This window comes from Homo sapiens, chromosome 12 (assembly GCF_000001405.40).
Source record: "Homo sapiens chromosome 12, GRCh38.p14 Primary Assembly".
NCBI lineage: Eukaryota > Metazoa > Chordata > Mammalia > Primates > Hominidae > Homo > Homo sapiens.
Genome location: NC_000012.12, coordinates 124,990,561 through 125,002,579, shown reverse-complemented (window position 1 = coordinate 125,002,579; position 12,019 = coordinate 124,990,561). Strand labels below are relative to the sequence as shown.

Sequence of the window (12,019 nt, the reverse complement as noted above, 5' to 3'; positions counted from 1 at the left end):
GAGGCTGAGGCAGGAGAATGGCGTGAACCCCGGAGGCGGAGGTTGCAGTGAGCAGAGATTGTGCCACTGCACTCCAGCCTGGCAACAGAGCGAGACTCTGTCTCAAAAAAAAAAAAAACAAAACAAAAAAAAAAACCAGTTCTGGACTGTCAAAACCACAGCAATACTACTTCACGTCTGCCAAGATGGCTAGAATTAAAAAGGTAGACCATAGCAAGTGCTGACAAGGATGTGGGGAAACCAGGCCCCACATGCTGGTAGGCAGGTAAAACGGTACATCTGCCTTGGAAAAGGGTGACGGTTCCCCAAAGTGTTAAACAAAAAGTTCCTGTATGACCCAGCAACTGGACTCCTAGGTATGCACCGCAAAATACTGGAAACAATGCCCACACAAATATTTGCACATGGATATTCACAGCAGCATCCATTCACAATAGACAAAAAGTGACATAAACCGAAATGTGCATCAGTTGATGATCAGGTAAATAAAAAGCCATAAAGAGGAATAAAGTATTGATCCTGCAGTATGGATGAACCTTGAAAACATGAGGCTAAGTGAAAGAAGCCAGACACAAAAGGCCAGACTGTACAGGACTCCACTCCTATGAAAAGCCCACAGTAGGCTCAGAAATAGAGACAGAAAGCAGATTGGCAGTTGCTTAAGGCTGGGAGTTGGGGCAAAGGAAAAAAGTAGTGACTGCTAATGGGTACAGAGTTTCTTTTTGGGGTAATGCAAATGTTCTAAAACTGACTGTAGTGACAGCTGTACAGCACTGTGAATATACTACAAACCGCTGAGCTTTCAATGAATAAACTGTATGGTATATGAATTATAGCTCAAAAAAAAAAAAGACATTTAGTCTGTGATCTTCAGAAATGTCAATGCTGTAAAAGTCCCTTACTGGGCCAGGCGAAGTGGCTCACGCCTATAATCCCAGCACTTTGGGAGGCCAAGGCGGGAGGATCGCATGAGCCCAGGAGTCAAGAGACCAGCCTGGGCAACACAGGGATTTCGAGGAGAAATCCTGTCTCTACGAAAAATACAATAAATAAATAAATAGGCATGGTGGCACATGCTTGTAAGCCCAGCTACTCAGGAGGTTAAGGTGGGAGGATCGCTTGAACCCAGGAGGCAGAGGTTGCACCGAGCCGAGACTGCGCCACTGCACTCCATTCTGGGCTACAGAGTGAGAGCTTGTCTAAAAGAAAAAAATGCATAATTGGGGCCGGGTGCGGTGGCTCATGCCTGTAATCCCAGCACTTTGGGAGGCCGAGCCGGGCAGATCACGAGGTCAGGAGATCCAGACTATCCTGGCTAACACGGTGAAACCCCATCTCTACTAAAAATACAAAAAAAATTAGCCGGGCGTGATGGCGGGCACCCTTGGTCCCAGCTATTTGGGAGGCTGAGGCAGGAGAATGGCGTGAACACAGGAGGTGGAGCTTGCAGTGGGCCGAGATCGCGCCACTGCACTCCAGCCTGGGTGACAGAGCAAGACTCCGTCTCAAAAAAAAATAAAAATAAAAAAAAATTCATAATTAAGTCCCTTCCTCCACCAAAAGTGAGGAAACTCTGACAGACTAGAGACATGAACACTAAATGCATGAGCAGTCCTTGACTGGGTGTTGGATTTTTTATGAGCTATAAAGACAATTTGAATATGGACTATCTGTTACAAAATACTGTACTATATTTAAGTTTCTTGGCTGAGACAATGGTATTGTGGTTCTGTAGGAAAAAGTATTAAGACGTCTGCAACTAACTTTCAAATGATCCTGCCAAAAAATAAAAATAAATGTGTGTGCATGTGTGTATGTGTCTATCGGATGTGTTTGCAGAGAAAAAAGTTTGAGGGGAAATGTAAGAACTGGTGACTTTAGGGGAGATGTTTGCAGCTATTCCTTGTTCTGTTCTTTCAGCATTTTAGTACTTTGAAAAATTATCAACATAAAAAATTATAGGAAACAGGCTGGGCGTGGTGGCTCACGCCTGTAATCCCAGCACTTTGGGAGGCCGAGGCAGGCAATCATGAGGTCAGGAGATCGAGACCATCCTGGCTAACATGGTGAAACCCCGTCTCTACTAAAAATACAAAAAATTAGCCGGGCGTGGTGGTGGGCGTCTGTAGTCCCAGCTACTCGGGAGGCTGAGGCAGGGGAAAGGTGTGAACCCGGGAGGCAGAGCTTGCAGTGAGCCGAGATTGCGCCACTGCACTCCAGCCTGGGTGGCAGAGCGAGACTCCCTCTCAAAAAAAAAAAAAAAAAAAAAAATCATATGAAACTTTATCTTAACTGTGGTAATTTTTCACAAGTGTGTATGTCAAAAGGTGTCAACCTGTACACTTTAAATACGCACAGTCTATTGAGGTGTAGTGCAATTACACCTCAAAAAAGCTGTTAAAATGTTGGTAGGGGAAAAAGGACTGGAAAGTGTCAAAGTTATTTTGCTCAAAATACTTTCTTGCAAACAGCAAAAAATGCAAACCTCTTTACAAAAAAAAAAAAAAAGCAAAAACAAAAGAACCCAACAGCTCAATAGAACGGCAAAAAAAAAAAAAAAAAAGAAAAACCAAAAGGCAGTTCCCAGAACATATCGATGGATTCTGAATAAATGAAAAGACCATCTGTCTCATACATAATAAAGCCAAAAAGTTTAATGAGGCTGGGTCGGGTGTCTCACACCTGTAATCCCAGCACTTTGGGAGGCCGAGGCGGGCGGATCACGAGGTCAGGAAATCGAGACCATCCTGGCGAACACAGTGAAACCCCGTCTCTACTAAAAACACACAAAAAAATTAGCTGGGCATGGTGGCAGGCGCCTGTAGTCCCAGCCACTTGGGAGGCTGAAGCAGAAGAATGGCATGAACCCAGGAGGTGGAGCTTGCAGTGAGCCGAAATTGCGCCACTGCACTCCAGCCTGGGCGACAGAGGGAGACTCCGTCTCAAGAAAAATAAATAAATAAATAAATAAAAATAAAAAATAAAAAACTTAGCAGGGCATGGCGGTGCAGACCTGTAATCCCAGCTACTTGAGAGGCTGATGCAGGAGGATCATTTGAGCCCGGGAGGTAGAGACTGCAGTGAGCCAAGATTGAGCTACTGCACTCCAGCCTGGGCGACAGAGGGAGACTCTGTTTCAGGGAAAAATAAAATAAAAATACAAAACAGTGCGCATAGTGCAAAATAAACAAAAACCAACAATAGGGAGCAGATCTATAGATCCATATATTTATACATGTTCAGAATATCTGGCTGCTTCGGGGAAGGGGGTGGTAGACGGGTCGGTAGTGGGAAGTGGAGTTAGTTTCTTAACCTTCAGAACTACATGAAATTGTATTCCATGCAACTACGACCAAGGAGCAAGGGAAAAAAGTACTAGTTTCTCGACCTGGCATTCAGGATGTTTCCACCACATCAGTCCAGCTATATTCTGCCTGAGAGGAATCATTTTCTCCACATACAGTAGGTGCTTGAAATTTTTCATTTGTTTGTTTTTTTTGGAGACAAAGAGTTTTGTGCTGTCCCTGAGGCTGGAGTACAGTGGTGTGATCACAGCTCACTGTAGTCTCAACCTCCCAGGATCAAGCGATCCTCCCTATGCAACCTCCCAAGTAGCTGGGACCACAGGTGTGCGCCACCATGCCTAGCCAAAGGTTTTGGTTTTTCGTAGAGATGGGGTCTCACTATGTTGCCCAGGCTGGTCTCAAACTCCTGGGCTCAAGCAATCCTCCCACCTAGGCCTCCCAAAGTGGTGGGATTACAGATGTGAGCCACTGCACCAGGCCAATTTTTTTAAAAAACTGTAGTCATATACACATAAAGTTGGCCATTTTAACCATTTTAAAGTGTACAATTCAGTGGCATGAGCACGTTCACAATATCATGCAACCATTATTATCTAGTTCCACAATCTGTCATCACCCCAAAAGGAAACCCTAGATCAATTAAGCAGTAATTCCCCCATTGCTCCCTCCCCCAGCCCCTGGCAACCACCCATCTGCTTTCTGTCTCTACGGATCTTCCTATTCCAGATATTTCATATGCTGTAAATGGAATCATATAATGTGTGCCCTTTCGTGACTGGCTTCTCTCATTTATTCAAGGTTCGTCCAAGTTGTAGCATATAGCAATACTTCATTCCTTTTTATGGCTGAATCATATTTCATTATACAGACACATCACATTTTATCCCTTCATCAGCTGATAAGACATTTGGGACATTTCCACTTTTTAGCTATTGTAAAAAGTGTTGCTATGAACACATGTGTATAAGTTGCTTAATAATTTTTTTTGAGACGGAGTCTCTGTTCCCCCGGCTTGAGTGCAGTGGGGCGACTCAACCTCACCGCAACGTCAGCCTCCCGGGCTCAATCTATTCTCCTGCCTCAGCCTCCCAAGTAGCTGGGATTACAGTCGTGCACCACCACGCCCAGCTAATTTTTTTTTTTTTTTTTTGAGACGGAGTTTCACTCGTTGCCCAGGCTGGCGCGCGCAACGGTGCAATCTTGGCTCACTGCAACGGCCGCCTCCCGGGTTCAAGCGATTCTCCTGCCTCAGGCTCCCAAGTAGCTGGGATTACAGGCATGCATCACCACGCCTGGCTAATTTTTTGTATTTGGTAGAGACAGGGTTTCACCATGTTGGTCAGGCTGGTCTTGAACTCCTGACCTCAGGTGATCCATCCACCTTGGCCTCCCAAAGTGCTAGGATTACAGGCGTGAGCCACCACACCTGGCCTAATTTTTGTATTTTTAGTAGAGACAGGGTTTCGCCATGTTGACCAGGCTGGTCTCGAGCTCCTGACTTCAGATGAGCTGCCCACCTTGGCCTCCCTAAGTGCTGGGATTACAGGTGTGAGCCACCATGCCAGGGCATCACTTAATAATTTTTAAAGGAATTAACAAGTCTATTACCTCCTACCAGACAAATTCCCTTCATATAGAAATATTCTACCATTTACTAAATGCTTATTCAGTCCCTGGCATTGTGCAGCCCAACCAATCTCCTTTAATTCCCCAATTTATCTCCTCTGAACAAATGGGACACAGATAAGTAAAGCAACTGGGTGGTGCACGGTGGTTCACGTCTGTAAATCCGGCACTTTGGGAGGCCGAGGCAGGCAGATCACCTGAAGTCATGAGATCGAGACCAGCCTGGCCAACACAGTGAAACCCTGTCTCTACTAAAAATACAAAAATTAGCTGGTCGTGGTGGCATCTGCCTGTAACCCCAGCTACTAGGGAGGCTGAAGCAGGAGAATTTCGTGAATCCGGGAGGCGGAGGTTGCAGTAAGCCGAGAGCTCGCCATTGCACTCCAGCCTGGGAGAAGAAGCGAGACTGCATCTCAAAAAAAAAAAAAAAAAAAGAGAAGTAAAGCAAAAAAAAAAGAGAAGTAAAGCAACTGGCTCAGGGTCACAGAGCGAGTGAGAAACAGCTAGGATTCAAACTCATGTCTGTTCCCATGCTCCAAACAGGATGGTCATAGGTGTATTTCAGACAAGTCCTAGATTAGAATATGGGAGGCCGGGCACGGTGGCTCAAGCCTCTAATCATAGCACTTTGGGAGGCTGAGGAGGGCGGATTACGAGGTCAGGAGTTCGAAACCAGCCTGGCCAACATGGTGAAACCCCATCTCTACTAAAAATACAAAAATTAGCCAGGCATGGTGGCACACACGCCTGTAATCCCAGCTACTCAGGGGGCTGAGGCAGGAGAATTGTTTGAACCTGGGCGGCAGAGGTTGCCATGAGCCAAGACTGAACCACTGCATTCCAGCCTGGGCGACAAAGCAATACTCCATCTCGGAAAAAAAAAAAAAAAAAGACTATGGGGTGTTTTTTTAAATACCATTAAACTTCACAAAGCAGGTTTGGCTCTAATTCGTAAACCCAGGCATGCTGAAAACTACAGTTGCTGGCAGACCCAGTTTTCCTTTATTTAAAATTCACAAAACAGGCTGGGCACGGTGGCTTACGCCTGTAATCCCAGCACTTTTGGAAGGCTGAGGTCGGCAGATCACTTGAGGTCAGGAGTTTGAGACCAGCCTGGCCAACATGATGAAACCTCATCTCTACCAAAAACATAAAAAATTAGCCGGATGTGGTGGTGCTCACTTGTAATCCCGGCTACTCACTTGTAATCCCGGCTACTCAGGAGGCTGAGGCAGGAGAATTGCTTGCCCAGGAGGCAGACGTTGCCGTGAGCCAAGATCGTGCCAACGCACTCCAGCCTGGGTGACAGAGTAAGAGTCTGTCTCAAAAAATAAATTAATTAATTAAATTTAAAAAAAAACCCATAAAATTAACAAAACAATATCCCCAAGCCTGGCCAGTGTGGGCTACACTCAGCAGGAAATAAAATAAGTCAGGCCAGGTGCAATGGCTCACACCTGTAATCCCAGCACTTTGGAAGGCCGAGGCGGGAGGATCACTTGAGGTCAGGAGTTTGAGACCAGACTGGTCAACATGGTGAAACCTCTTTTCTACTAAAAATACAAAACTTAGCCAGGCATGCTGGTGGACACCTGTAATCCCAACTACTTGGGAGGGTGAGTGGGGAAGATCGCTTGAACCTGGGAGGTGGAGGTTGTAGTGAGACGAGATCACTCCACTGCACTCCAGCCTGAGCAACAGAGCCAGACCTCCGTCTCAAAAAAACAAAAAGGAAAGAAGTCAGGTCAGCCTCTGGATGCTGTACTGACTCGGGGAACAGGGAAGGGGTCATGAAGCAGGAAAACAGGCGAGAGATACTAATGTGGGCTCCATGTCCACTCTGCCTAGGTTCACATCCTGGCTCTGCCACTCATCTGACCTGAAACCAGCCACTTCACTGCTCTGTGTCTCAGTTTCCTCATCTGTCAAATGGGAACAGTAACAGTACCTACTGCACAGGGTCATTCTAAGGATTACATAAGATTATTCTATCTACAAAAGCACTTAGTAATCATTAGTATCTCTATTAAAGGCACAAACCCCGGTTTAGCCCAGGAAGAGCTCTGACCCCCAGATTCGGAGATGCTCTGCCAGAATACAGATTGTCTTATTTAAGTAAAAGTCTTAAATAACCACTCGTATTTCATGTTTGTTGGCCTTAGATTGTCACATGGAACCACCGTCAGTTGAGACATGGGGATCCTGTGGTCACCCTGCGTGAAAAAGACAGGCTTATTTTTGCTCTAAAACAAATGATTTCTGCCTTCAAATAGCTCCGAAACGGCATCAAGAGGAAGTAAGTGAGACTCCCTGCACTCACACCCCTGATCCTTTCCCGCGCCAGACTCCAGGGCAACCTTTTCACATTCAGGCGTTCAGCCCTGCTTCCTTGCCCCTCTTTGGCCACCTACAAAGCGTTCTCTCCCCTACATGTATGAAGACACAGACCCACCTGTGCAAGAGGTGCCCCTGCCCACAGGAGAGGGAGGTCAAAACTTACTGTTTTCCTAACAAATTAACCTTTCATGTTATCCAGTAAGAACATGCAGTCAATCTGATTTCGGCCTTCATATTCCCTTCTATTCCCCACTCCCTCTCAATGAGCAGAAAACTTTAACTTTTTAGCCATGATTCTGGGCCAGGAAGGTACCAACTAGTCATAATTACAACCTCGCAATGAAGGGGAATGATTACTATCCCCATTTAACAAATAAAGAAACAAGCTCAAAGAAGTGAAGTCACTTCCCCAAAGTCATCCAACTGGTAGAGCTCCAACTTGAACCCAAACTTCTCTGACTCCAAAACCCCAGGAAGGCTGGCGGCAAGCAAGAGCCCCCTCCTCCCCAGGGAACAGCAAAGGAACCGCAATACCACACACAACTGTCCCCAGTAACTTCCTCCTTCTCAAGAGCTAGTCGGCGGACTTCGGCCCGGAATGGCACCCCTATCGCACCTAGCTCCAGAGAGCAGGAATTGGGGAAAACCCCCTGCGATCCTCCTGGGACTCAACACCCTTCCCAGGAGGCTGCAGGATCCGGGACCTCCCCAAACTAAACAAAAGGCTCCACGCGAAAGGCCCCGCACACAGTAGGTGCTCGGTTTCCCAAAGCCACCGAGCAAATCGCATTGCTCCCTTCTTTTCCTGTAAAGTAAAAACAACTCCAAGTATCTTCAAAGCAGGAGGAGGAGTGGGGCAGAAGGTCCCAGGGGAAGTGGGTCGGGATGCGAGGCTAGGACAAACCCGGGGTAGCTGGGGAGGGCGCAGCCGCGTGGGGACCGAGAGCGCCAGTGTGCTGCCTGGCTCACAGTAGGAGCCATTCAAACGCGGTGAATGAATGAATGAGACGCGCGGCAGGCGTCAGCGCAGCCGGGAGAGACTCTGGCTGCGCCGACCGCGGAGGCAAGGTCCAAGGAGAAGCGCGGCGCAGAGGAGAGGGCGCCCCGAGGCCCGGCCGCCCAGACCCGCACTGGTCAGGCCCGGCGGGGGCCGCAGGCGGCAGGCCCCGAGGCGCAGGCCGGACCCCCTCTTCCCGCGCGCTGGCCGGGCGGGCAGCCCCGGAGGCCGCGCTCCTCCCAGGTCGGCCCCGGTAGCCAGGTGCGTGGCGACCGGGGCAAGGTGACCGCGGGCGCGGGCCCGGCGCCCACCTTCTGAGCGGCGCGCACGTTGTCCTCGCCGAACAGGCTGCTGACGCTCTGGGAGAAGGTGTTGACCGTGCGGCGGTAGCTGTTCTTCTCCGCGCCGCCGCGGCCCCGCGCCCCCTGCGCGCCCGGGGCCAGCAGCCCGAGCAGCAGCAGCAGCAGCAGCAGCAGCAGGAGCCCGGCCCGGGCCAGGGGCCCGCCTGAGGCGCGCGCGCCCATGCTCGGCCGGCGGGGCGCGGGGTCGCGATGCGGGGTGAGGGCCGTGCGCTGGGCCGCAGCGGGCTCCGGCTAGGGCAAGGTTGGCGCGCTCGGGGGCCGCGCGCCGCGCCTTTACCCACAGCCGCCGCCGCCGCTGCTGCGCCACCTGCCCCGCCCCGCGCGCAAAGGCGCACGGCCCAGCCCACGCCGCGCCCCGCCCCCGGCGCGGGACCAACGCGACCCGGCCCCGGGGCCCCGCGCCCGCCTCCCGGAAGCCTGCCCCGACCCGGTGCGGCTTCTCATCATTTAAAAAAAAATTCTCTTTTTTAACTTATCCGTGGAAAAGCAACCCGTGCCTGTAAAACTTGCAACAGCTTCAACCAGGAAAGTGACTGCAACTGATTGAAAAACATGAAATAGACATATATGTAATCTCCCTGAATGTATTATAATGGTACCCCAAAATTCGCCCTCGTGGGCATCAGCTCATTCATCCTGAAAATTTTAAATAACAAGAAAGCATCAGGCATCCTCCTGCCCTTCCTGAATGAACTGTATTTCAGAGCCCCAAAATAGTTGGGGAGGGACTTTCTTTTACAAAGTCCAGCTAATACATGAGGATGAATGAGAGAATCCGAAAATTATTTGGCACCCCTCAATAGAATGATGGATTCACGCGATGATCATCAGAAATGGGTACAACCAAGAGGGGAGGGTTTGGCGGGGAACTTGAAAATGGAGGGGCTAAGCCGCGAAGTCCCGGTCCCGCCAATCGATCTTAGTGCCAGGAAGTACCAGCGCCACCTGCGATGGATTCTTGCCAAGACAAGTTGAGCATGAACCTGATGGGGCCTCTAGATCAAACCTACAGTTTACAGGAAATATGGCAGATAAGGAAAACTTAGAAGCAGCAGAAGCAACCAACCAACTCCAGCATGTGGGGCATTCTACCAAACAAACGACCCAGTTTGTTCAATAAATAATTGGTATAAAAGGTGAGCGAAGAGGAGGATAATTGGTTTTAAAGACTTAAGAGCCATAATAACCCATGCAATGCAAGGACCCTGTTTGCATCCTAAATCAAACAAATCAAGTCTAACCAACATTTTTTTTAGACAACCAAGAAAATAAAACTCAATTTTTGCCAATCCAAAGAATACAAAATGCTCTTATTTTTGAATTTACATTTTCTGGATTCCTAGTAAGATTTTCATAGATTTATTGGCCATTTGAATTACTTCTCTGTGAATTACCTATTCATATCCTTTGCACATTTTTTCCTGTATTGTTTATCTTTTTAAAAACTTTTTTGTAGGTCGGGTGCGGTGGTTAACGCCTGTGATTCCAGCACTTTGGGAGGCTGAGGCGGGTGACCTGAGGTCGGGAGTTCGAGACCAGCTTGACCAACATGGAGAAATCCCTCCGTCTCTACTAAAAATACAAAATGAGGCCAGGCGCCGTGGCTCACGCCTGTAATCCCAGCACTTTGGGAGGCCGAGGCGGGCGGATCACAAGGTCAGCAATTTGGGAGGCCGAGGCGGGCGGATCACGAGGTCAGGAGATCGAGACCATCCTGGCTAACACAGTGAAACCCCGTCTCTACTAAAAATACAATAGCCGGGCGTGGCGGCGGGCGCCGTAGTCCCAGCTACTCAGAGCCTGAGGCAGAAGAATGGCGTGAACCCGGGAGGCGGAAGTTGCAGTGAGCCGAGATCGTGCCACTGCACTCCAGCCTGGGCGACAGAGCGAGACTCCGTCTCAAAAAAAAAAAAAAAAAAAAAAAAAAATCCAAAATGAGCCAGTTATGGTGGTGCCTGCTTGTGATCCCAGCTACTCGGGAGGCTGAGGCAGGACAACCGCCTAAACCTGGGAGGCGGAGGTTGCAGTGAGCCGAGACTAAGCCACTGCACTCCAGCCTGGGCAACAAGAGTGAAACTCCGTCCCAAAAACAAAACAAAACAAAACAAAAACCTTTTTTTACGCCAGGTGTAGTGGCACAAGCTTGTTTTGGGAGGCCAAGGCAGGAGGATTGCTTGAACACAGGAGTTCGAGGCCAGCCTGGCCAACATAGTGAAACCTATCTCTATAAAAAATGATAATAATAATAATAATAATAAACTTTTTAATTAAGGTATAACATACAGAAAAATACACAATCATATAAATTTTTATGAATTTTCACAAACTGAATACCCAAGGTAACCAGCACCCAAATCAAGAAACGAAACATTACCAGTTCCCCCACGAAGCCTCCCTTTGTCCCCTCCCATTCACTATGTTCCTCTTAAAATTTAGGGGATTCATTTGCCTGTGTTTGAAGTTTATGTAAATGAACCACACAGTACTCTGGGGGTTGGCTTCTTTTGTTCAACTTTTTTTTTTATTTATTTTTTATTTTTTGAGACGGAGTCTTGCTCTGTTGCCCAGGCTGGAGTGCAGTGGCATGATCTCGGCTCACTGCAACCTCCGCCTCCGGGGTTCAAGCGATTCTCCTGCCTCAGCCTTCCGTGTAGCTGGGACTATAGGCACGCGCCACCACACCCGGCTAATGTTTGTATTTTTAGTGGAGACAGGTTTCGCCATGTTGGCCAGGCTGGTCTCAAACTCCTGACCTCAGGTGATCCGCCTGCCTTGGCCTCCCAAAGTGCTGGAATTACAGGCGTGAGCCACCACGCCCAGCTTTTGTTCAACTTTATATTTGTGAGATCCATCCATGCTGTTATGTATCTGCCTTCTTCTTGCTGTCTAGAATGGTCTATACCTTCTGGAAGGTAATTCACTGATATATTATATTTTAGAAGGAAATATAGGCAAGTGTACTACTACCTACTTAACATTTTTTAAACGTTTCTTAAACTTTTAATTTATTTAAATAAACATATTTAAAGAAGAAACTTTAGATCACTATCATCCTGAGCAACAAAATCCATAAAAACACAGATTTGAGCCTGGGTGCAGTGGCTCAGGCCCGTAATCTCATCATTTTGAGAGGCCAAGGTGGGCCGATCACTTGATGTCAGGAGTTTGAGACCATCCTGGCCAACATGGTGAGACCCCATCTCTACTAAAAATACAAAAATTAGATGGGCATCTTGGTGGGTGCCTGTAATCCCAGCTACTTGGAAGGCTGAGACAGGAGAATCGCTTGAACCCGAGAGGTGGAGGTTGCAGTGAGCCGAGACTGCTCCACTACACTCCAGCCTGGGCGTCAGAGGGAGAGTTCTGTCTCAAAAAAACAAAAACAAGCAAAC

General features: G+C 48.3%; 1 protein-coding gene across 2 annotated transcripts in view, besides 8 other annotated features; it reads right to left on the bottom strand.

Moving 5' to 3' along the window:
- The window catches only part of BRI3BP (BRI3 binding protein), a 57,523-nt gene extending 48,588 nt beyond the window's left edge, over positions 1 to 8,935 (bottom strand). For both annotated transcript variants that reach the window (XM_011537940.3, NM_080626.6), the window contains exon 1: positions 8,577 to 8,935. In XM_011537940.3, the coding sequence (XP_011536242.1) occupies positions 8,577 to 8,789 (213 nt within the window). In that variant the 5' untranslated portion in view covers positions 8,790 to 8,935. The remainder of the gene's footprint in view (positions 1 to 8,576) is intronic.
- Positions 6,736 to 6,875: an enhancer, noted in NCBI's record as "active region_7320". NCBI's record gives its function as "activates an Ori minimal core promoter by ATAC-STARR-seq in GM12878 lymphoblastoid cells {active_cell/tissue: GM12878}" and the evidence as "EXISTENCE:reporter gene assay evidence [ECO:0000049][PMID:35858748]".
- Positions 8,056 to 8,145: an enhancer, noted in NCBI's record as "active region_7319". NCBI's record gives its function as "activates an Ori minimal core promoter by ATAC-STARR-seq in GM12878 lymphoblastoid cells {active_cell/tissue: GM12878}" and the evidence as "EXISTENCE:reporter gene assay evidence [ECO:0000049][PMID:35858748]".
- Positions 8,236 to 8,295: a silencer, noted in NCBI's record as "silent region_5078". NCBI's record gives its function as "represses an Ori minimal core promoter by ATAC-STARR-seq in GM12878 lymphoblastoid cells {active_cell/tissue: GM12878}" and the evidence as "EXISTENCE:reporter gene assay evidence [ECO:0000049][PMID:35858748]".
- Positions 8,306 to 8,555: a silencer, noted in NCBI's record as "silent region_5077". NCBI's record gives its function as "represses an Ori minimal core promoter by ATAC-STARR-seq in GM12878 lymphoblastoid cells {active_cell/tissue: GM12878}" and the evidence as "EXISTENCE:reporter gene assay evidence [ECO:0000049][PMID:35858748]".
- Positions 8,566 to 8,615: a silencer, noted in NCBI's record as "silent region_5076". NCBI's record gives its function as "represses an Ori minimal core promoter by ATAC-STARR-seq in GM12878 lymphoblastoid cells {active_cell/tissue: GM12878}" and the evidence as "EXISTENCE:reporter gene assay evidence [ECO:0000049][PMID:35858748]".
- Positions 8,716 to 8,765: a silencer, noted in NCBI's record as "silent region_5075". NCBI's record gives its function as "represses an Ori minimal core promoter by ATAC-STARR-seq in GM12878 lymphoblastoid cells {active_cell/tissue: GM12878}" and the evidence as "EXISTENCE:reporter gene assay evidence [ECO:0000049][PMID:35858748]".
- Positions 8,786 to 9,105: a silencer, noted in NCBI's record as "silent region_5074". NCBI's record gives its function as "represses an Ori minimal core promoter by ATAC-STARR-seq in GM12878 lymphoblastoid cells {active_cell/tissue: GM12878}" and the evidence as "EXISTENCE:reporter gene assay evidence [ECO:0000049][PMID:35858748]".
- Positions 9,865 to 10,365: an enhancer, noted in NCBI's record as "H3K4me1 hESC enhancer chr12:125476761-125477261 (GRCh37/hg19 assembly coordinates)". NCBI's record gives its function as "activates a minimal SCP1, AML or CMV promoter by ChIP-STARR-seq in naive H9 embryonic stem cells {active_cell/tissue: H9 hESC(naive)}" and the evidence as "EXISTENCE:reporter gene assay evidence [ECO:0000049][PMID:30033119]".